The sequence below is a fragment of the Homo sapiens genome, chromosome 6, assembly GCF_000001405.40.
Source record: "Homo sapiens chromosome 6, GRCh38.p14 Primary Assembly".
Taxonomy (NCBI): domain Eukaryota; kingdom Metazoa; phylum Chordata; class Mammalia; order Primates; family Hominidae; genus Homo; species Homo sapiens.
In genome coordinates this window covers 20,918,809-20,943,707 of record NC_000006.12, presented here as the reverse complement: position 1 = coordinate 20,943,707, position 24,899 = coordinate 20,918,809, and the positions used below count along the sequence as shown (strand labels likewise).

At 37.5% G+C, this 24,899-nt stretch overlaps 1 protein-coding gene across 16 annotated transcripts in view, besides 2 other annotated features; it reads right to left on the bottom strand.

Moving 5' to 3' along the window:
• CDKAL1 (CDKAL1 threonylcarbamoyladenosine tRNA methylthiotransferase) overlaps positions 1–24,899 on the bottom strand; it is a 697,948-nt gene that overhangs the window by 288,697 nt on the left and 384,352 nt on the right. The gene's annotated exons all lie outside the window — the stretch shown is intronic.
• Positions 11,083–11,283: a silencer, noted in NCBI's record as "peak5723 fragment used in MPRA reporter construct". NCBI's record gives its function as "represses an SCP1 promoter by STARR-seq MPRAs in K562 erythroleukemia cells {active_cell/tissue: K562}" and the evidence as "EXISTENCE:reporter gene assay evidence [ECO:0000049][PMID:32103011]".
• Positions 23,898–23,947: an enhancer, noted in NCBI's record as "active region_24134". NCBI's record gives its function as "activates an Ori minimal core promoter by ATAC-STARR-seq in GM12878 lymphoblastoid cells {active_cell/tissue: GM12878}" and the evidence as "EXISTENCE:reporter gene assay evidence [ECO:0000049][PMID:35858748]".

The window sequence follows — 24,899 nt, the reverse complement described above, 5'->3', positions numbered from 1 at the left end:
TTGTACATGTGGTCTATGCGTTTAAAAAAATATGAACATGATAAAAAAAAAACAAAAGAAGATATTTGAAAAGAACCTAGTGGAACTTCTAGAGATGAACTTGAAGACCTAGTAGTAACAGAAGCTACCCAAAATGAAACGAAGAGAAATAAAACATTCATAATAAAAATGAACAGAACAGAACCACACCAAGCACACTAACACATGAGTAGAGTCCCTAAAATATGGCTAAATTTACCCCAAATTTGGCAAAAACTATAAATCACAGATTCAATAAATTCAATAAACCTTCATCAGAATAAACAAAAGAAGCCACATCAAAGTACACAAACAAATTACTTTTTTTTTCTTTTTTTCTTTTTCTTTTTTTTTTTTTTTTGAAAAAACAAGGTAATGAGGAGAAAATCTTAAAAGCAACTGGGGGCTGGAAGCAATATTGTATACAAGAACAAAGAAAAGAGTGACAGACGACTTCTTGTCAGAAATGATGCAAGCCAGAGTGTAATGGAGACATAACCTCAAAAGACTGAAACACTCTTAACCTAGATTTTTGTTGACTTTTCAGACAAAGCTGAGTGAACTCAATACCAGCACTACTCCAAAGACTAATAAAGAAAGATCTTTAAACAGGAGAGAAACAATACTAGATAAAAAGCAGAGTACCAGATGACACACAAAGAAAAGAATTGGACCAGAAATGGCAAACATGTGGGTATATATAAAATATAATTTTTAATCTTTTTTTTTTTTTTTTGAGACAGAATCTTGCTCTGTCACCAGGCTGGAGTGCAGTGGCGTGATCTCCACTCATTGCAACCTCTGACTTCCTGGTTCAAGCGATTCTCCTGCCTCAGCCTCCCAAGTAGCTGGGATTACAGGCACACGCCACCATGCCTGGCTAAATTTTGTATTTTTAGTAGAGATGGGGTTTCACCATGTTGGCCAGGATGGTCTCGATCTTCTGACCTTGTGATCTGCCTGCCTTGGCCTCCCAAAGTGCTGGCATTACAGGCATGAGCCACCATTAAAATATAATTGTTCAGCTGGGCGTGGTGGCTCACGCCTGTAATCCCAGCACTTTGGGAGGCCAAGGCAGGCAGATCACCTGAGGTTGGGAGCTCAAGACCAGCCTGACTAAGATGGAGAAACCCCATCTCTACTAAAAATACAAAATTAGCTGGGCATGATGGCACCCAACTGTAATCCCAGCTACTTGGAAGGCTGCGGCAGGAGAATCGCTTGAACCCAGGAGAGGAAGGTTGCAGTGAGCCGAGATCACGCCACTGCCCTCCAACCTGGGCAAAAATAGCGAAACTCCATCTCAAAAAAAAAAAAAAAAAAGTATATATATACATTTAAAGCAAAAATAATAACATATTTTGGGGTTTACACTTGATGCAAAAAACTGACAATAGCACAAAGGACAAGAAGAGGAAATGGAAATATAAAATTACAAGGTTCTTACACTATAAATGATGTAGTAAAATATTATTTGAACGTAGATTGTGATAAGCTAAGGGTATATATTTAAACCTGAGGGCAACCATCAATCAATCAAAGTGGTAATTTTGGTAAAGTCCATCTTTTTTCTATTTTATAAAACATCTAAAAGGAGCTAAATCAACAAATGAAGTCTACATGTGTTAAACATAAGCTGTCTTATAAGCTAATTAAGTACAATGATCATTATTAAATTCTGCTATGAGAGGCTAATCTAGAGAGCTAATATTCAGTATTTTAAAATAGTATGTTAGTTATCCTCTTGCCGAAGGGGAAAAGCAGAATGTCATTTTGAAATAACTACCTCATGGAAAAAAAGTGATAATTCCTTATCGCCAATAATTCAACTTTTCACAAAAAGGTAAAACATACTTAGTTGCTAGCACTGACGAAAACAATAAACCAACAACTTCAATGATCTCACCTTTTCTTTGCCCCAAAGTGCCAATTCAGGGCTCTCCAATTTGTACCCAGATATAATGTAAGATTTTAATAATTCTGTGCTTGAAAGTCAGTTAAGGATACTTCTCTCCCTCTTCATGGCTTATCACCATCGTTCACTAAAAATAGATCCTAGTAGATAAACCTTTTTTGGCACTATGGGTAACACAATGCATATGAGTGTAATCAATCAATGTATTTGAATAACAAACACAGACAATTTTTTAAAATAAGAATTATCCAGTTTGAAATGCCAAAACTCTTTATCCACTTCATTTTATAAATAGAGACTGTGACAGAAAGGTTAACAGACTTGCCCAAAGTGATACAATAAGCAGCAGCACAGCATGGATTAGAATTAATCTCTTAATTTCCAAGAAGGAACTCCAACATAATTGTTTTTAATGCCAATTTAGTGACTCAAGGAGAAGACCTATAAAATGCTGACTATAATTATGATATGAGTAGTACCAACCAAAAATCTCAAAAGCCAGCTTTAGTAGCATTAGAAATAAGAAATGATTGAAGAAAACCAAAACAATGTGTAAATAACATGAGATGCATTAAGAGTAATAAAACCTGTACTATCCAATAAACCACAAGCCATATGTGGCTGATGAGCACTTGAAATGCAGTTGGTTTGAACTAAGATGTGCTTTTTTTTTTTTTTCTTTTTGAGATGGAGTCTTGCTCCGTCTGTCGCCCAGGCTAGAGTGCAGTGGCGCATTCTTGGCTCACTGCAAGCTCCACCTCCCGGGTTCACAGCATTCTGCCTCAGCCTCCCGAGTAGCTGGGACTACAGGCGCCCACCACCACGCCTGGCTAATTTTTTGTATTTTTAGTAGAGACGCGGTTTCACTGTGTTAGCCAGGATGGTCTTGATCTCCTGACCTCGTGATCTGCCCGCCTTGGCCTCTCAAAGTGCTGGGATTACAGGCGTGAGCCACAGTGCCTGGCCCTAAAATGTGCTTTAAGTGCCAAGGTACACATCTGATTTCAACTACTTAGTATGAAAAAAGAATGTAAACTATCTTATTAAGATTTTAAAATAATTTTTACAACTGAGCTGGGCACAGTGGTACATGCCTGTAGTCCTAGCTACTTGCATGGTTGAGGCAGGAGTTCAAGGCTGTTGTAAGCTATGATTGAGCCATTTTGCACTCCAGCCTGGGCAAAAGAGAGAGGCTCCATCTCCCGCTCCCCGCCAAAAGAAATTGATTACAAATTGAAATTAGCATTTTGGATATAACGAGTTAAAGTATCTGATTAAAATATACTTAACCTGTATCTTTTTGCTTTTTTAATGCGGCTACTAGAACATTTTAAATTATACATATGGCTCATATATTTCTACTGGGCAGCACTGTTATAAGGTATAGAACTGCCTACAATGAAGAACTAAAAGAATTAACATGAATTTTAATTCACATAATAGAAATATATTAATAAATTATACTTTCTCCTAATTAATCAACAGAAACTGAAAATTCTTCACAGTGAAGTGATATGATTGATAGATATAAGATTTTGTGCTTCATTTATGTATATTTCTTGATTGTATTGACATATTTTATTAAAATTCAAAACATTATATTACATAGTTAATAAATTAAAAAGTGGCATTCACAAATGCAACTGTACAACAATCATTTTGTGTATTATCTTTAAGTTATCTTGGACATACACATTTTATACACTTCACAGTGTTTACAAAATAGAGACTATTGTATTTAAAACTATACTTCAAAGTTTTGAGTCCTTAATTCTCACTATTAAAATAAATATTTAGTAGTTCTTACTGCAAATAGCATTTCTATCTACAAATTGCTTCTAACTGTAAACCATTATTTATAAGTTATAAATGAAGAAACACAGAAAATAGGTAAGATATGTAATTTGCCATACATGGGTGGAATAGAAATATTTTTAAAAGCTCCTCATTTCCAGGTGTGATCTATACAACTTTTCTTGTTTAGGAAAAAATGAATTATCATTACCAAAGCACTCCTGTTAACTTGATAAAAACACCATCTCTCAATCCCCCCTCCATAAAACCTTTACAGAGAAACTCTCCACCTTTGTCTCCTCTGCAGCCAATATATTACTGTGGCATTTACTTACAAGGATTTAAAAAGAAAATAGAGTACTTATAGTAATTGCACTGGCCCAAGCTTAGCCAAATACAGCAAAATTACTTTGTTATCTTTCATAAGTGCCCTGGTTAAGTTTTAAAAATGCTTTATTACCTCTATTAAGTCTGCCAAATCTCTTCTAGGAAAAACCATTTTGATATTTCAAACTTGAGTTCACTTAAATATTCTACAAAACTCTTGTGAAATACATTTTCATTCTGTATTCTCTAACTCCCCAGTTCTTTTTTGTTATTTCCTGTGGCTTCAGCTGGTTAAGGATTAAGCTGAGGTCCTAGAAAGGTTCTCTTTCATTCATTATTTATTTTAAAGATCTCCAACAGTGACCAATGGAGAGAAATTAGTAAATGCAGCAGGAGGAAGGAACAGACAGAAAAAAGTGGAGAGAAGTACCTCTAACATACTATATAATTTACTTCTAATTATGTTTACTGTGTATTGCCTCTCCACCCCACCCCCAAATAGAACGAAAGCTACAATAAGACTGCAATTCTCTGTTTTGTTCACTGAACTAACTCTTGTAATAGGACAGTGACTGAGAACATATTAAGCATCTAGTGAATATTTATTTATTGACTGAATGAAGAAATTAATAAGAAGACAGGAAGAAAGGGAAGCATGAAGGGTTGGGGAAGGAGGAAAAGGAGGAGGGGACATTGAGATGACAACATGAAAGGAAGAAGGAGCCTACAGGTGCAGTTCTCAGATTTGCTTACAAAGAAAAGAACATAAGAAAGTATTCAAGTTTTCACAGTATTTCAAACAGAAAACAAAGCATAAATGCTCATTCCCATTGGAGTAGAAAGTACACAATCAGAAAATACCTATATATATTCAACAGAAAAAAAAAGGTTGTAAAAATAATAAATTGAGCTTCTGTTAATGTTTCCTACTTACGCACTAATTTATCATCTTTTATATATCCACACAAATGGAGAATAGCCACAAAAATGGGAAGAAAAGGTTTCCTGAGAAATACAGAAAATTGAGATGATTCTATCAATTAACTTAATCCATTTTCCCTTTAAAACGAGAAAAAAATATTATTTCATTTTAATAGGAAAAAAAGGAGAATTTTACTAGAGAATCATTTGAAGACCATCAGTCTACATAGAAGTGCACTGGCTATCTATCAGTTCCAAGAGAACTCCACAAACTCGAAATTTAAAAGATCAAGTTAGAAGATGATACCCCGGAAGCAATGAACACAACTAGCGATCATATCTTATTTTCAAAACTCTGTTCTCCCAACATAAAGTATAAGAATTGCTTAGAGAAATGGGTGATTCCAGGATTTGAGTTACAGAAAGTACAAAGTAAGCCTAAAACACTTTCTGGTGCCAGACAGTAAGAAAGTACTAAAAAAAATTATGAGGGCAAATCAAGAGAACAAAGGAGTCAAACTGAAGAAGCTCTCAATGGCCAATCTGGGACAATCTGATCAACAGAATAAATAATGACAGTAGTAGAATTTAAAGTATAGAACAAAATAAATATCCATGAGTCCAAAACAGAAAAGGTATTTCAAAAAATAAATGGAGGAAAAAGCAGAGGTCTTCCATATAATATAATTTTAATTACTGAATGTAAAAGGTAAGATAGGAAAATCAACATCTGGCAAACACCACAAGTAATAATTGTCAGAGGCAAGGATCATCCATGGATGCTAAACTTAGTGGGCAGAAGGAAGATATTTACAGTTTTTAAGCATTTCCCCCATAAGACACTTATTAATTAAAATGAAAAAAAAAAAAAACCACCTCACAGTGGAGAAATTTTGCATCACCTTAACTATGTAATAAAAATCAAACCCACCAGTAATGAGAATCTTAACATCATGTACCTTGATGCTCTGAAAAGTGCGTATCAATCACTTCAGTGGTACTCTTGCCAAAAATGCATAACCTGAATTTAATCACATGGAAATACCAGACAAACTTAAAGTGAGAGAGGTGCTATAAAATAATTGACCAGCACATTTCAAAAATATTACGGTTATAAAAGACAAAGACAGGAGACCTGGCCCAGATTGGAAGTGAAGAGACTGAGGAGACTTGGTAACCACATGTAATGTGGGATCCTAGATGGACCTGGGACCAGAAAAAGAAAGTTAGTGAAACAATGGGTGAAATTTGGATAGGGTCTGCAGATTACATAATAGTATTTTACCAACGTTAAGTTTCTGGTATTGATAGTTATATAATGTCATGTTAAAATAGAAACATTTAAAGCCAGGTGTGGTGGCTCATGCCTGTAATTCCAGCACTTTGGGAGGCCAAGGAGGGATGATCACTTGATCCCAGTTGGTTTGAGACCAGCCTGGGCAACATGGCGAAACCCCATTTCTACAAAAAATACAAATAAATTAGCTGGGTGTGGTGGTACACACCTGTAGTCCCAGCCCAGGAGCTGAAGTAGGAGGATGGCTTGAGCCAGGGAGGTCAAGGCTGCAGTGAGCTGTGACTGTGCTACTACACTCCCACCTGGGGGACAGAGTGAAACACTGTCTTTAAAAAAAAGAAAAGAAAGAGAGAAAAAAAACACTTGAAGAAGGGTAAATGTACTCTTATTACTGTTTTTGTAACACTTCTGTAACTCTGGGATTTTTATACAATAAAAGCAAACAAGGAAGAAAATGAAGGCAGAGTACGGGTTATCAGGGCAAAGGACTCAGAATACGTGAAACCTCTGGTAACCAACAGACTCTAGGAGCTTCAGGTGAAATTTAAGTAAGGCAGGGCCAACATACTCTTTGTCTAATGTAAATCAAGAACCTATTTCCTCAGCACGGAGTCAAAGTTTCCTGATTTAAAGTGGCTACTGTTATGGTGCTTCTAAAATTATCACCTATTTTTAAAAATCCATCAAATGAACACATTTTTCTTTAAATAAGAAGCCTCACACACTACATAAAAAAGATAATGCCTGTATTTGCAATTAGAAACTCAAAGACCACATCCTGAAGCGTGTCATAGTACTGCCATTGTCATCAGCAAGTGGTATTTAGTAAGTAGTTGTCACCAAGCCCCATGTGAAGTTCCCCAAGGGATATATAAAAAAAAAAATGGGCCGGGCGCGGTGGCTCACGCCTGTAATCCCAGCACTTTGGGAGGCCGAGGCGGGCGGATCACGAGGTCAGGAGATCGAGACCATCCCGGCTAAAACGGTGAAACCCCGTCTCTACTAAAAATACAAAAAATTAGCCGGGCGTAGTGGCGGGCGCCTGTAGTCCCAGCTACTTGGGAGGCTGAGGCAGGAGAATGGCGTGAACCCGGGAGGCGGAGCTTGCAGTGAGCCGAGATCCCGCCACTGCACTCCAGCCTGGGCGACAGAGCGAGACTCCGTCTCAAAAAAAAAAAAAAAAAAAAAAAAAAATTATGAGACACTGTGACACAGAATTTTTTTAAAAAAATGTACAGAAAAGCTTTAAGTTAAATAAATTTATAAGATAGGTCGGCATAACCACAAACAGAAAGATGTGAAGATAATATTGTCAGCAGGCATTAGAAAAGAATAATTATTCTATGTTTTTGAGGTGTTAAAGTTAGATACAGTAAAGATAAAATGCATTACATTTCTATTCATTATTATATATCTACACTAATACAAAGGAGAAGCTATGGGACAAGGTGCAGCAGTGTGAAGAAATCAACATAACATTTGTCTCCGAGGAAAGAAAAAATCTGATGGCTGGCAGGCTGGCACTCTTACACCAAGAGTGTGGGGAAGCAGGTCTGGTGTGCAGTGAGCAGAAGAGGAATCCATATGCCTGTAATCCTAGCTCTTCGGGAGGCCAAAGGGGGAGGATCGCTTGAGCGCAGGAGTTGTAGACCAGCCTGGGCTATGTAGCAAGATCCTGTTTCTATTTTTTAAAAAAGTCTAATTTTGGCCGGGCATGGTGGCTCATACCTGTAATCCCAACACTTTGGGAGGCCGAGGCAGGTGGATCACTTGAGGTCAGGAGTTCGAGACCAGTCTGGCCAATATGGCAAAACCCTGTCTCTACTAAAAGTACAAAAATTAGCTGCGTGTGGAGGTGCATGCCTATAAGCCCAGCTACTCAGGAGGCTTGAGGCGCAAGAATCTCTTGAACCCAGAAGGCAGAGGTTACAGTGAGCCAAGACTGCACCACAGCACTCTAGCCTGGGCAACAGAGTGAAAGTATGTCTCCAAAAAAAAAAAAAAGTCTAATTTTCCACACCATACAGGGCAACTTTAATTGCTCAACAAAAATGAGAAGAATGAGGGAGTAAGGATCTGGTTTCCAAAGAAATATATTACAATTCAGCCTTAGTAAACTATGCCTATCATAATAATTTCCACTTAGAGAAGGCTAAAAGTTCATTATAAATTACAAAGCTATTAAAAGTCATTAGCAATAAAAAATGATGTGAAACATTTGATGTAATAAAAAGTATGTACAGGCCAGGCATGGTGGCTCACACCTGTAATCCCAACACTTTGGGAGGCCAAGGCAGGCGGATCTTGAGGTCACGAGTTCAAGACTAGCCTGGCCAACATGGTGTAACCCCGTCTCTACTAAAAGTACAAAAATTAGCTGGGTGTGTTGGCACGTGCCTGTAGTCCCAGATACTCAGGAGGCTGAGGCAAGAGAATCGCTTGAACCCAGTAGCCAGAGGTTGCAGTGAGCCGAGACTGCGCCATTGAACTCCGGCCTGGGTGACAGAGACTTCAACTCAAAAAAAAAAAAAAAAATGTATAAGGCGGAATTAAGTAATTAAGTACAGGGTTTTGCTTTGTTTCTTTGCGACAAGGTCTCTCTCTCTCTTGCACAGGCTGGAGTACAGTGGCGTGATCATAGTTCACTGCAGAGCTTTGACCTCCCAGGCTCAAGTATCCTCCTGCCTCAGCCTCCCGAGTAGCTGGGACTACAGGGGCATCCCACTATGTCCAGCTAATTTTTTTTCAGTTTTTGTAGAGATGGGGTGTCACTACGTTGCCATGCCTGGTCTTGAACTCCTGGGCTCAAGTGTTCCTTCTGTCTCAGCCTCCCAAAGTGCTGGGATTATAGGCATGAACCACCATGCCTACCTAGGACTTTTTTTTTGTTAATGCAGTGACTTTATAATATGCCCTGAAGGTCAGAAAACAGACTACACAACTAAGAAAATGAGAAACAGAAGGCCACAAATGATGATAATCTGCAGAAAATGATCTGTTGATTCATTATTGGTCTACATGTTACTCATGGCAATAACACAAATATTACCTGAGTGAGCTCCAGGTGCTGGGCACCATGCTAAAAGCACAAAGATGAATAAGACATCTGTAGCACTGTCTAGTGTCACCAAGCAGCAAAGGTGACTTGTATTTGAAAACTTGGCTTTAAATGGATGTCTACATCCACATTTCTACTTCCACTTAGAGTAGATGAAATCCACTCTAGTCCCCTGATTCTAGAAATGCCCTTGTCTTACCAGCTATAACCCGTCAAGGAGATCCAGCCATGCCTTCAATCATATTGCTCTCTCAATCTGAGACTCTTGAGCCCTCAAAGCTGTTTATTTGTTTTACAACCTGTGTCAATCGAAATCTATTTTGAATCCCTTTACTGATCCTTGGTCTTTTCTAACTACTGTGATAAGGACCACAGTCCATATATATATAATGCCTTGAATGTTACCGGCATTAGTAAATAACATAACCTTTTACTATTTAAAAAAAAAAAAAAGATTAAACAATGAACAATGAGCCTAGATTAGAAATCTCTATTGACCACAGAATTCTTAGTGACACTAAAAGCTATTTTACTATAAAACGTCCTTAAATTACAAAATATGCAAATTACCTTTATGCAAGAAATGTACCAAATATTCTAAGATTCAGGGTGCTTAAAAACATTCACCCAACTAGGATGATTTCAGATTAAAGAAAATAAGGACGGTGTAATTATATACACTTACCTTGACAAATAGAAAGCAATCTGTGATTAGAACATAGCAATTAGTTACAAAATGCTTCACATGGATTTAATTACCCATCAGTCTACATGTAGCTTAATTACTTTTATCTCATTGCATCAGTAAAAGATTTCTGCCTGAGGCAACTGCCAGTCATATATTTATAAGGTTTCTAGACTTTACAGTGAATACATTATAACATTCAGGCAAATGTGCTAAAGTTGCAGTTGCAGAGGCATTCTTAATTTTGAGTCTCTCCTTTTAGTTAATAACTATCTCATCCCTTTCTTAGAGTCAACTACCATCTAGCTTTCACACTGACAGTGCCACCTATTTGGCTAAATAACATTGTTGACATAAACATCACCTTTGTTTATTTTAATCCAGTAGGAGCCAGAAGGAAAGACCTTTGAAACCAAAACAATTATCTTATTGCCCTGAAGCAAAGGGTATTGTTTTCTCATGGGTAAGGTAAATACTTAAATTCAGAAAGGAGATGATTCTCTTTCTTTACGATGGCTGAAGAAACTCCTTTTCCTTCATGCTACACTGCTAATGGTGGCTTCCTGAGATGGAGTTTTTGTGATTCAGAGGGGGAAGCACTATATTCCATTTTTTCTCTCCTTGGGAAGACAGTTTTGAAATTCTGCCAACCAGGGTTTGATTCCTGGCTCCTTCATTGATTAACTCAATGTCTGGACAAGTTACTTAATTGACCTGAGGATAAATAATAACTATCTCAGTAGGCTACTAAATACAATAACAATCAAATTCAATAACACAAAAAACATCTAGTACAGGTCCTTGGCTCCATAGCAAACATATAATAAAAGCTAATATTGTTTGCTGGGTTCCCCTAGGAGGGTTCTATGAGGCTTATATGATTTCATCAGTAAAAAGGTTCTCTTTGGAACTAGGTAGATAATATCCTCTCCCTCATTTTTCTTTAGGGAAACATTTTTGGTGTTGGCAAGGAAATCATATTCTCTAAAAACGGAAAGTTTTTAGGACTCTGGAATTTGGTGTTAGGGGACTCTGGCGCCATCCTAGTTTAGAACCATTGTAGAAATTCCCTTCTGTTAAGGAAAGAGGTTTTGGGAAAGGGCATTGTCTCAACTCAATTAACAGAAATCTAAGGAGGCTTAGGGCTCATGAGTCAGCAGGAATCCCTTTGTAGTTTCTTTTTTACCCACACCAAAGTTTCTTCTGTTTATGCTTATATATAAATAAAATCGATAGGAAAAATGGGTCTGAAGTGCTACTGTGCTTCAGAATTGCCAATAAAGTATGTTACAACTTCAAATGGGAACGTGGGTGGACACGATTCTAATTAGGTAGGTCCAGCATGGTGTCCAAAACTGTGTGCCCCAGTGATCCTGACACTCCAACTTTGAGAAACACTCGGTGGGTTCATAAGAGAACACAACAACAACTTATATATATTTAGTTATCAAAATCCTTAAAACAAGAAAGAAAATAATTTTAGACTTTCAGAGAAACTTTTAAAATCTCCTCCTTAAATTTTGTTCTCACACTATTATTTCATTTATCCCAATTATTGATCCCAAAAAGGAATACAGACTCCAGTTTCTTAAAAATAGCTTAGAAATGATTAATGTGTCACCATGATATATAGATTTACCACTACGGTTGAAAGAAATAAAGAACTGGGAGAGATAAGCATATGATACAAAGGCAAGATTTTATGGTTCTGTGTGGGCACTAACGCAGAGAGAAAGAACTTGACATTTGAGATGTGTATTAAATATATGAAGATAACCTATACTGTAAAATCAATCGACTGAAGAGTTTCTGAATTTCTACTCCTTAATTCATAAACTTCAAAGCAAGCACGAAATGACAGTTGCTCGAAAAATATTTTCAGGTTCTTTCGGGTAAGGAGCTGTGTTTTATTCATTTAGGTACAAACAGCACAGTGACTACAGCACATAATAAGTTCTCAATTAATGTTTGCTAAAGGAAGGAAAGGCATGAGGCAGAAAGGAAAATACTTCAAATGTTTCACCTTTTAGGAAGGGCAAATGTTTTCCAAATTTTTTTTCCCAATATTACTGTGAGTTGGAAATCATCTTTAGAATGTGTTCTAAAGATAATCACATGCCACGGAGACAAATGCCACCACACATTTTTGGAAAGAACTTAATTGCGCTTTAATCCTTTTGTGTAGCTTGTTCAAGTAGTTCTTATTCAGCACCAGGAGAATAGTTTTGTTAGTAGCGAAACTCCCCTGACTCTGCCTCTTACCAGGCAATGACGATGAGGACATTAATATCTCCTATGTCTTATTTGTAAAATTGTATGGTGACACTGGATTCTTACCATTCAATGACAGCAAATTTACCAGTAGAGAACATAGCACAGGGCCTGGTGTCTGGCACGAGGCCAATTATGATATGTAGCAACTTTTCCAAGCTCAAGTGACTTTAAAGATGAATTATAACTAGAAAACTATTGCATATATATCATTAAATGTACATCCCATATGTCAGTATAAAACAGTGATGCAGTTAGGCTAAGCTTTAGTCAGTCTGGGTTAGAATTCTGGTTCTACTGTTTACTAGCTAGGTAGCCAAGGCAGCTTAATTACTGGTCTCTGAGCTTAGGTTTCCTGGTCTATGAGATTAAGATACGCAGCCGGGCGCGGTGGCTCACGCCTGTAATCCCAGCATTTTGGGAGGCCGAGGCGGGCGGATCATGAGGTCAGGAGATCGAGACCATCTTGGCCAACATGGTGAAACCCCGTCTCTACTAAAAATACAAAAATTAGCCGGGCGCGGTGGCAGGTGCCTGTAGTTCCAGCTACTCGGGAGGCTGAGGCAGCAGAATTGCTTGAACTTGGGAGGCAGAGGCTGCAGTGAGCTGAGATCATGTCACTGTACTCCAGCCTGGGCAACAGAGCGAGACTCTTGTCTCAAAAAAAAAAAAAAATACACATAATACCTGTACCTCATAAAGTTAATGTAAACATTAAATGAGATAATCCATATAAACACTTCCCACTCTTCCTGGCACTTGGTAAAAAACAAATCCTAGCAACTGTCATTATTATGAAAGATACTAAAGTAACAATGAGGGGATGTGGGTCCACTCCAGGTTTCGACATGGGTTTTGTTTACTGGACCAGCGGCCATTGCCTTTGGAAATACGAAATGACATTATGTTTACTAAGGCATTTGAATTACTCTGGAATTTCCATTTGGAGACAAAAACTACTTCTTTGACAGTAAAGTTACAATAAAAAGGATAATTGTGGCATAGCCTGTTCAGACCTATATGCAGAAATTGCCCTATTTGCAAATGGGAACTACCCAAGCACAGAAATAGAGCTTGGCAGGGCTTTAAAAAACAATGAAGTTAATTAAAAGAAAAAAAAATACTTTTTATAGAGTTCAAAAACAAGTTAATTTTTTTTTTTTTAATTCACGTTTATGGTGTTAACAAAGAGTTGAAAAAACAATGAAATAAATTCTGGAAACTACTTCAACTGACTTCTCTTAAATAGCTTTCATTAGTTTGGTTTGAGTCTGCGTTTTAGCTCACTAAGTGTTTTTAAAATTAGATTTGTTGTTTTAATGCAGCTTTTCTTGGTACTTTTTGTCAAGAAAAGTCCAGAAATCACTTATACTTTTGACCCAGAAAATCCAGATAAACTTGATAAAGAAATGTTCTTGTAAGCCAACTTTATGAAGACAAATTTAAATTAAAGGAAAAAAGAAAACACAGTTTCAGAATATTTAAACAAGCACTAAAATAATACATCAGGTGCTGACATCTTAAAACAAAAATAATGTGCTAAGTCTCTGAGCCTTTTTTCCTTGTATTCTTTGGGGTCCAGGATGGGGAGAAGATGTTGACTGAGTCAGCCCTCAGCTGATGGGAATTAAAAGGAGCCATCAGCAGCCCAACTGTCAGTGGGGAAGAACACACTTTGACCGTAGAGGCAGAGAGCTAGTAGATCTTCAGGTGTCAGCCAGCAAAAAATAAAATTAAAAGAATAAATCAGCCTCCATCCTGATAATAATACACCCGCCCATTACAAAACTGCAACAACAACAAAATCTATTTTGACACTTTTGAACGTTAAAAAAGGTCAGATGTAAGGCAAAAATCACTGGCAGTAACGTCAAATACATAAGGCATAAACAAAAAACATCCAATCTGCTATCATTCCTTTCTTATGAATGAGTGCCTTGTCCAAACATCCCTGTCTTACTGCTTTTTTCTACCTTACTTTTTCTACCACTGCCTCTGTGAGGGAACACCTCTGCTTTCCTGGGTTTTCCCTTCCATTTACTCCTACGTTGTGCTGCAGAGGAAAATGCTATCCTTGCCCCCAAGGTTAATCTTTATTACCAGGAAGAATATGTGTCCCTTCCCCAGGGAAGACCTGGAGTAGTCCCCAAAAAAACTGAGCTGACAAGTGGTTGTAGATATTTAAGTCATCTCTTGGCACCATGTGCCCAGGAAAGGTATCCCACTAGGCTTGGACCTTCGAGTGGGGATCTTTTCCCTATCTACTGGGATCCTTCCATACTGTCTGGAACTGTCAGGATTTATGCTAACAATTCCTGGAAGAAGGAAAGGCTACACTTCCACTGTATAGGGTTAAAACTGCAGGGAGGCGGGTAATGTACTTTCACTTGAAGATGTAATTAATATTGGCTGGCTTTATAGATATCATCCTCAAGCTCAGATGGAACTCAAAACAATATGCTGAGATATTATGAATCCAGGACTCGACTTCGTAAGTATTTTGAGTTGAATAGATTTGTGTATGAAAAAGGTTCATAATTTTTTTCAATTCTACAGTATTAACATCTAACTTATAAAAGAATACTGGAGAACTGGACACAGTGGCTCATGTCTATAATCCCAGCAGCTCAGGAGGCTAAGGTGGGAGGATGGTTTGAGGCTAGGAGTTCAAGGCCAGCCTGGGCAACATAGCAAGATCCTGTCTCTAACAAAAATGAAAAAAAAAAAAAAAAAAAAGAATATTGTAAACCTCATGGACAATCTCCAGTAGAATAAACGATTTTAATTGTAGTTCTTTCAATACTGTCTTACTTTAAATTAGTCACTTGATTTTGTCAGATCTCAGATTCTTCATCTAGAAAATAAAGATCTTAGATCAGATCAGCTTAAGGTTTTGGGATTAGAGATCCCCTTTGATACTGATGGAAGCTAAGGATACCCTTCCAAAAACAAGCTACATACAACATGGGTTTGATATTTCAGGTGATTCACAGATCCTTGAGAGCACATCTGTGAAAAACTCCTGGGCTATGTTTAAATGTGATATTACAATCACTGCACATAATAAAACATTTTTAAAAACAAAGGTATACAATTTTTACCACTAGAAAACTAGTTTCTTCACATCCCATGAAGAACTATTGAACAATTACTTGCAAAATATAAGTTTAAAGAGACTCTGATATTACCAGCCTGCCCGTGGCACCTTCCCCCTTCCATGATACCTTTACATTCTATGTGATTGTAAAACGATCACTCCATCAGCTGAGGATGGTTACTATTGATTGGCAAGTGTCTTAAGTACTACAAGAGTCATAGTTTCCCTGGCCTGAAACTATCAGAGCTCTCACCAAACATTAATGAAATAGTTGGTTAAAGCTACATAAGATTTTTCAGAGACAAAACATTTCCCTTTTGCATCAAATGCAAGCTGTTTGCTTAGAAAAAACAGAGTAAGACTGTTTAAGAAACATCTCAATTATCAAATGATAATGAAGTCAAATTATACAGTCTAATAATCTAAGATTTTAATAAAAACTGATAGAATAATTTTTATATTCAGTAACACTCCTAAAGGTCAAGATAACTACTAAAGAAAATAATATAATTAAAGATGTATAGTGTTTATAAGCTTAAACCAGGAGAAGAGACTACTTTGGGGGAAAAAAAAACATTATTCCTGGATTCAGACTTCTTAGTTACCAAGGCAAATAGAAAATATAAAGCAAAAAAGCACATTCCTGTTTTAGAAAACGTTTCCTAGGACATAATTCCCCAAACATCTTTTAAATTCCAGAATCAGAATTCCAGAGTCTAGGATACATCTTCCTGTCCACCGCAGGTCAAAGGTTTGACTTTCCACTTATTTTTGCTACTATGGTTAAAAATCGATTAAAAAGTAATATTAATGCAAAAGAGGTGTACTCCTATTGCATTATTAATAGGCAATACAACTGTAAACGGTTTTGTTCACCGTTCTTCACTGCTCTTGCTAACAGTTTCAAAATAGGAGGTGCTGAAGCATGAAGACTGTTTGCAGCCATTGCTTTTTGAAATCACAGTGCTGGGAATTGGTGGAATTCTTGCCTCCTTGGGTTATCAGACATTGTGAACTTTCTTTGAAAGCAGACTATAAATTCACAAGGGGGTCCCCTGCCTTCAATCAAGGAAATGTTTAAAACGACCCCCATCTGCTATTTTAATGTATTCTTCCCAAAGACTGCCATAAATATTTAATATAAGAAAGGCGCTGTTTAAACACAATGAATAGCTTACGAAATTAAAGTTGGCTGATGGATTACACTGTATGCATAATACACTGTAAATAATGACAAAGAAAATATGAGCAGCATTACTAACTTTCTCTTATTTCTCTTGACATTTCTTAAGGAATGGTCAAAAGACATTTAGATATGGGCAGCTTAATTGATACCAAAGGGTGACTAACTCTATAGAGCCATTCTATTCATGTCTCTCTCTCTCTATATATATATATAAAAATATATATGTAAATATACATAAACATATATATATAAATATATAGAAACATCTTGGTATATTACCTACTGAAAGGGTATGAAATTGATTTTCCATTTCTCAAGAAGTCTCACTTAGCCCACTATGTTCATAAAAGTCACAGAACTATGATGGACACCTTCTATCAAGTCCCTGGTTTAGTTTCTTATATTCAAACAGGAATCAACACTTAATATTAGGCTTTTCTATGGAAGACATTCAATGCATACGTATCGAATGAGTACATACAGTTTTTATCAGATGCAATTATATATTGCATTCAAAATTTCCAAGGTAAGATGCCCCTTCTTCTTTCTGGTACTGTTCCAATAACCAACCTGCATATTTTCCATTCTCATGAATATGCATTTATTTTTACTCTGTTTTCACAGAAATAGAGAACAGCTGTGCCTCTTCTCCTTGTAACTCCTAATCTTTTGATTCTTCTGTCCAAATCAAACAATTTCAACTTATTTTAATTTTCCTGAAGTCTCTTTTTTTAACCATTTTCACTGAATTTCTCCACAGTGTAATATTAGAATGATTTCTCAATATTTATATGCCCCCAAAGTAATGTTAACTCTTACAAGATCAACATATCCTTGACATAAATAAGTGTACTGACCAGATTATTTTTTCCTGCTGGGTCAGTGTCCAGTCCAAATTCTTTATGTAAACAACTATAGAGTTCAACATACCATATAGTTAGATTTTTTACCAACCCTTCTGCAGCGAATTTCCATAGATTCTTTTATTCTCTTGATGCCATCAATTTCTCCCATACTGATGTCATGTATCAATATCCTTTGTATGTTTTTCATTGTTTACTAAATAAAAGGCAATATTGTTCCAAGCTAACAATATCATCTTCAGAAAACCATCCTCAGGTTATTAACAGAGCTCTGTGTAATATCTTGAAAGATGTACCAATTTATTTTTCTAAAAATCTTATAGAAAAAATATGTTGGAACTTGTCAAGACTTTCATTTAAGTCTAGATAATGAGGATTAATGTCTTCCCCCATTTTTAGATGGAGTATCACTCAATCATAAAAGAGAGGAACAAAATTGATAATAGTGTTGAAAATGTCACAGTACTCTGTAACTAATATCTTTGGCTTGATATTTTGACTATTGATAGAGGTTCTAGTATCTTCCTATGTGTTATCATTAGTATCATTTATCGGTAAGTCTATTTAAAAGAAGATTTCTATATTTTCTGGAATCCAAGATACCAACAATGTAAAACATGTCTTTTTAAAAAATGCACTACTAAGGAAAAAACAATAAAATGCTTTTACATAATCACTAAATTCCCTAAATTATCAGATGTATTCTCACTGAGAAGTAAAAATGTAAAATAAGTTCACCTTAATAGTTTATTAAGCAAGGTATTGTTATTTCTCTACTCTTATAACAGTATATTCTATAGTAAGTACATTCCTAAACATCACTAACATAGAATTTATAATATAAGCCAGAGAGTTAATTATTTCACATGACAAAGTCTACTGCAATAAGGGAAAAAGTGCAATAAAGCAAATAGCACAATAAAATGAGTCACACAAATTGTTTGGTTTCCCAGTGCATCTAAAAGTTATTTTTATGCTGTGGTCTCTTAAGTATGCAATAGTATCATGTCTGAAAAAGTGTACATACCTTGATTTTAAAATACTTTATTGCTACAAAATGCTAACGATCGTCTGAGACTTCAGGGAGTCGTAATTTTTTTTTGCTGGTGAAAGGTCTTGACTCCAATGTTGATGGTTGCTGCCTGATCAAGGTGGTGGTTGGTGAAGGTTGGGATGCCCATGGCAATTTCTTCAAGGAAGGCAGCAATAAAGTTTGCTGTATTGGTTGATTCTTCCTTCCACAAAAGATTCTCTGTAGCATGAGCATTTTACCCACAACAGAACTGCTTTTCAAATTGGAGTCAATCCTCTCAAACCCTGCTGGCTGCCTTAGCAACTAAGTTTATGTAATACTCAAAATCCTTTGTTGCCATTTAAACAAAAGTCCGAGATGGCATCTTCTCTCAATAGAAGGCTGTTTCATCTATATTGAAAATCTGTTGTTTAGCATAGGCGCCTTCATCGATGGTCTTAGACCTTCTGGATAATTGCTGCAATTTCTTCATCAGCATTTGCTGCTTCACCCTGCACTTTTATGTTATGGAGATGGCTTCTTTCCTTAAACCTCATGAATCAACCTCTGCTAGCTTCAAACTTTTCTTCTGCAGCTTGCTCATCTCTCTCAGCCTTCACAGAATTGAACAGAGTTAGGGCTTTGCTCTGGATTAGACTTTAGCTTAAGAGAATGTTATGGTTGGTTTGATCGTCTATCTAGACCACTCAAACTTTCTTCATATCAGCAATAAGGTTGTTTCACTTTCTTATCATTTGTGTGTTCATTGGAGTAGCACTTTTAATTTCCCTCAATAACTTCTCTTTTGCATTCACAACATGACCCAACGGTATAAGAGACCCAGCTTTCAGCCTGCCGGCTTTTGACATGCCTTCCTTACTAAGCTTAATCATTTCTAGAGACAGGGTCTTACTCTGTCGCTCAGGCTGGAGTGCAGTGGTGTGATCTCAGCTCACTGCAACCTTTGCACCCTGGGCTCAAGCAATCCTCCCACTTCAGCATCCCTAGTAGCTAGGTCTATGGGTACACACCACCACACCTGGCTAACTCTATCTAGACCACTCAAACTTTCTTCATATCAGCAATAAGGCTGTTTCACTTTCTTATCATTTGTGTGTTCACTGGAGTAGCACTTTTAATTTCCCTCAATAACCTCTTTTGCATTCACAACATGACCAATGGTACAAGAGACCCAGCTTTCAGCCTGCCTTGGCTTTTGACACGCCTTCCTTACTAAGCTTAATCATTTCTAGAGACAGGGTCTTACTCTGCCACCCAGGCTGGAGTGCAGTAGTGTGATCTCAGCTCACTGCAACCTCCGCCCCTTGGACTCAAGCAATCCTCCCACTTCAGCCTCCCTGGTAGCTAGGTCTACAGGTACGCACCACCACACCTGGATAATCTTTTGTATTTTTGTAGAGGCAGGGTTTCACCATGTTGCCCAGGCTAGTCTTGAACTCCTGAGGTCAAGCAATCCACCCACCTCAGCCTCACAAATTGCTAGATTACAGGCGTGTGCCGCCATGCCTGCCCATTTCTAGCTTTTGACAAAAAGTGAGAGACATGCAGCCCCTCCTCTCACTTGAACACTTAGAGGCCTTTGTAGGCCTCTAAGTCAATGTCAATATTGTTGTGAGTCAGGCAATAGGGAGGCTGGAAGAAAGACAGACAGAGAGAGGGAGATGAATGGCTGGTGGGGGAACAGTCAGAACACATACCATTTACCAATTAAGTTCACCATCTCATATGGGCATAGTCCGTGGCATCTCAAAACAATTATAATAGTAACCTCAAAGATCATTGATCACAGATCACCATAATAAATATAATAGTGAAAACATGTGAAATATTGTGAGACATACCAAAATGTGGCACAGAGACACAAAGTTAGCACAAGCTGTTGGAAAAAACGGTGCTGAGAGAATTGCTTGAAGCACGGTTGACACAAACCTTCAATTTAGGAAAAAACTTACAATATCTACAAAGCAAAATAAAGCAAAGTGCAATAAAAGGAGGTATACCTGTACCCAAGAGTTATATGTAGGCTGGGCATGGTGGCTCGTGCCTATAACCCCCACACTTTGGGAGGCGGAGGCTGGAGGATTGCTTGAGCCCAGGAGTTCAAGACCAGCCTGGGCAACATGGCAAGACCCTGTTTCTACCAAAGAAAAAAAGAGAGAGAGAGAGAAGACTTTATATGCAGATGCTTTTCTCCCCCAAATACCTTTTAAAATCACTTTATCTTTCTTCTATGACTTCTAGGTTTTCAAAGTATTTGAGTCAAATACCATCCCTCCTAATAAATACTCTTATGACTAATTCTTAAATAAACTTATGACCTATGCCTTAAACATAACTTGAGCTATTCATTCATTTTAATAGATCATCTCAAAGGATATACAGATGCAGTTTAAATTATAAATCATTTGGTAAATTATGGAAATTTCTGTGTATTATATGGACTCATTAAAACAAACTTTTTGCAATGAACAAAAGCTTCCCAAGTGATGGGTTACCACTTAAATAACTACAGATACAAACTTCTATGTCTCTGTTCTCATCCCGGTTCTAAGTCAGATCTTATAAACTGAAGATTGTTGTTTTGGGTGAAACACACGAGTCGTTTGACTCGATTAAAGCTTAATAATGATTGCAATGCATAGGGAAAGTAAGCACCCCTCAGTTTACCTTTCCCATTCATTCACCACAGCAGCAGCAGCTTGCCTGTTATTTGTCACAAAATAGTACACACACCCATACACGTATCTATCCTACTAGATGTACAATGGCTTAAAATCTTAATTTAGATACTGTCCCCTCTTTATGGCTCCTATGCGTCTTAGGTGAGTTCATTGTTTTCTCATGTTCCTCTCCTACCCCTTCCAAACTTCCCAGCAATCAGGAATACTGTAAGAGGGTGAAGAAAGAAAAATTTCAAAACCAGGATTTCTTTGTAGCCTAAAATGTCAAAAACCCTTTACAATGATTCCTTTCGTGTCTGACTTTGAATATGTGATTCATTATGGAAGTGCAGTAGACCCTCTGAATGCTGATGGGGCAGTGATTTATTCGAACACGAGATTTGTTCCAAAAATAGTACCATGGGGTTCAAATAAGTTTGAGATGGTTCTTTTCTCTGGCATTGGCTCAGAATGTATGCCTTTATCACAAAACCAGTTTGAATTTTGTTCGCGTATCCCACTACACTTTATTCAAATCATTCTGCGCTTTTAAGAAGACAGCCCAGGACCATCTGAGGTACTTCATTGACAGTTACAGCACACAAATAAACTAAGGCCGCTAAAGTAACTGCAAATCAGGCCTGGCATCCCTCAACCTGAGAAGAAAAGTTTAACTTATTCTTCCTTCCTAAAAGAAAATAGTAGAGATAACTGCAATTGTTGAGAAACTACGGAGGGAGGGTTTAAATTTTCCACATGGCATTCTCTTACTCATTTGCTGTTTTGGCCAAGTAGGAAGAATAAGAACTACAGAAAGTAAAGCCCAAATCTGAGAAATTACATCACCAATAGGCAATGAAATGAAGTGATTCTTAGTAGTTACTGCCAGTTGCTAAAAGCCTGTGAAATCAAGCCACAGAGCTGGGCCAGAGGCTGAGGGTTGATAGAAACTAGGATGCACCACAGGACCATTCTACTTAGACACTGAGATGAGGTTGGGAATAGGTAACTATTAAAATTCCTAAGAAAAGTACCTTAGGTTACAAAATTGCTCTGAAACATCAACTTAAAATAAACCTGGATAGCCAGGAGCAAGTCATGTAACCTCTCGAGCCTTAGTTCATTTGTTTGTTTGGTTTATTTATTTATTTATTTTGAGACGGAGTCTTGCTCAGCCTCCCAGGGTGGAGTGCAGTGGTGCACTTGGCTCACTGCAACCTCTGTACCCTGGGTTCAAGCGATTCTCCTGCCTCAGCCTCCAGAGTAGCTGGGACTACAGGCGCACGCCACCATGCCCAGCTAATTTTTGTATTTTTAGTAAAGATGGAGTTACACCATGTTGGCCAGGTTGGTCTTGATCTCTTGACCTCGTGATCCGCCCACCTCGGCCTCCCAAAGTGCTGAGATTACAGGCATGAGCCACCGTGCCTTGCCAGTTTATTATTTTTTTTAAAGACAGGTGTAACAACCTGGCTGGCTGGGGTGTGTACGGCTCAAAGATAAATTATGTAAAGCATCCAAACAATGACTGCACCCAGTTGACCCTTGATAAATGGAAGCTTTTTTTATCTAATATAAAAATCTAAAGAGAAAACTTTCAGTTACATATCTAGGAGAGGGGCTTTAACCATCAGAACCATCTGAATCTCAAGAAAGACATGCACATTTAGCAGTTAGGGCCATATTGTTAAGGTAACACTGCTTCCTGACTGCCATATTCCAAAATGACTGGGCCAGTATCTCTCTATATAAAGGGTAAGTGAATGTTTCAATATGCCAATCAGTCTACTAAACTAAGAGTATTTGAATAATGATTTCTTAGGTTCACAGCTCCCGGAAGAATTTTTTTCATTGTAAATGCTTTCTTGGGCATACAGCCCACAAACAATTAGAAAATTAGCATTATTATTTTAATACTAACTAAATAGAATTGTGGATGGCAGTATATAATCCTAAAAACAATAAACATGATTTTGATTTAGTTAATTCTGTATACAGTGAACAAAGAATCTGATTCTTTGAAACTATTTTAAGATTTACAATCTTGGAAATATGACAAAGGGAAGTGGGAATCAAAGAATAGTATTGCAATATAAAATTTTCTAATGCCAAGACAAAAATCACACGGATTTCAACTTGTCAGTCAAGCATGAGTCTGATTATTCTATTCACTTCACTGACTTTGATCCCTATCCTCGTCTCATCTTGGAGTTACTTTTTCCTATGGTGGGCTCCTATTTCTCATAAAACCTTTATTTTTAACTCAGTCTGCACTTCTTACTTGTAGGCGTACATTTTCAGGTCTCGTTCTAGAAATGACATTATTCAACTTTTGAGCTCAGACCCTGTCCTTTGCCCTCACCCAAAACACAGTCAGACCAAAAGAGATGCTTCACAGTGCTAACTGAGAATTGATCTTTCAACTACTTAGTCATAAGCAACAGCAGCTGGTTCTGAGTAATCATACAGGAAAGGAGTTTATTAAAAGGATATTAAGAATGAGGCTCAATACTAAGCTTCTAGGAACAATCCCCAATCCAGCACAAAATAGGCTTAATGAGAAAACTGTCACTGTTTTCAGCTGCACCAAGAATTCAACACTGTAAACACGACCACCCCTAAGAGCCAGATGCCACTACCACCACTCTGGCTAGCAAACCTGGAATCTAAGCAGAGCCTCTCTCCTCAAATTGCTCATTTCAGAACTTAGGTTTGTTGGTGGAATCTAGGTTACATTCTTGTGCCCTAGGTGCAAAGCAGATTAGTTCTCTGAGTTCTATTGTGGGAGGATGGTTCTCGTAAGGTTGGAAATTCCCCCAGATTATAGTAAGGTGTTCAAAAGGTGCTGGGCAGCCAAAAAAATACCAATCATGCCCATTGTACAGGATTATAAATTGCTAATACCAAATGAACACCCACATAAGAAACAAAATGAGTTCATGTCCTTTGCAGGGACATGGATGAAGCTGGAAACCATCATTCTCAGCAAATTATCACAAGAACAGAAAACCAAACACCGCATATTCTTACTCGTAAGTGGGAGTGGGGGGCTAGGGGAGGGATAGCATTAGGAGAAATACCTAATGTAGGTCACAGGTTGATGGGTGCAGCAAACCACCATGGCACATGTATACCTATGTAACAAAACTGCATGTTCTGCACACGTACCCCAGAACTTAAGTATTAAACAAAAGAAACAAAATGAGCAGTCTTCATTCCTTCATCCCAGAAAAGAGATGTGCAAATAATTAAATCATAAATTTAGCAAACAAATATGGTGTGGATATAGCAATGTCTCTGATCGTGATTTAAATCTACTGTGAATAATGAAGAAAAGTCTACAGTGTTCTGTAGTGCCTAGTGCCCAGTTCTAATACCTATCAGTTATCCTTCCTCTTTTCAAAATGGATAGGAGCTAATGATGCTGTAGACCCCATCCTGACTTGAGTCACATCCTGGCTAATTCTGTCCCCTTTAATACTCTGTTTCTGTTTCCCTGCAGTAACCCACATGACTATTGATGTATTAGTTTTTGCTGAGTTCTCACGGAAAACCACTTCCATCATTAAGCACGCATATTTAATCAGAACCTCTTCTGTAGTGAGAACACTTTGTTTTGACTGAAGAAGTGAGGAATTCCAGGATATGATAAGCACAATATTGCTGTTGGCCAATACTGGAGGGTGGAAATGCCCATGAACACTAAATGCAGGCATTCTTGCTCACCTCAGCATCTTATAGGGACAAACACAAGGAAGATGAATTGATCAGTGT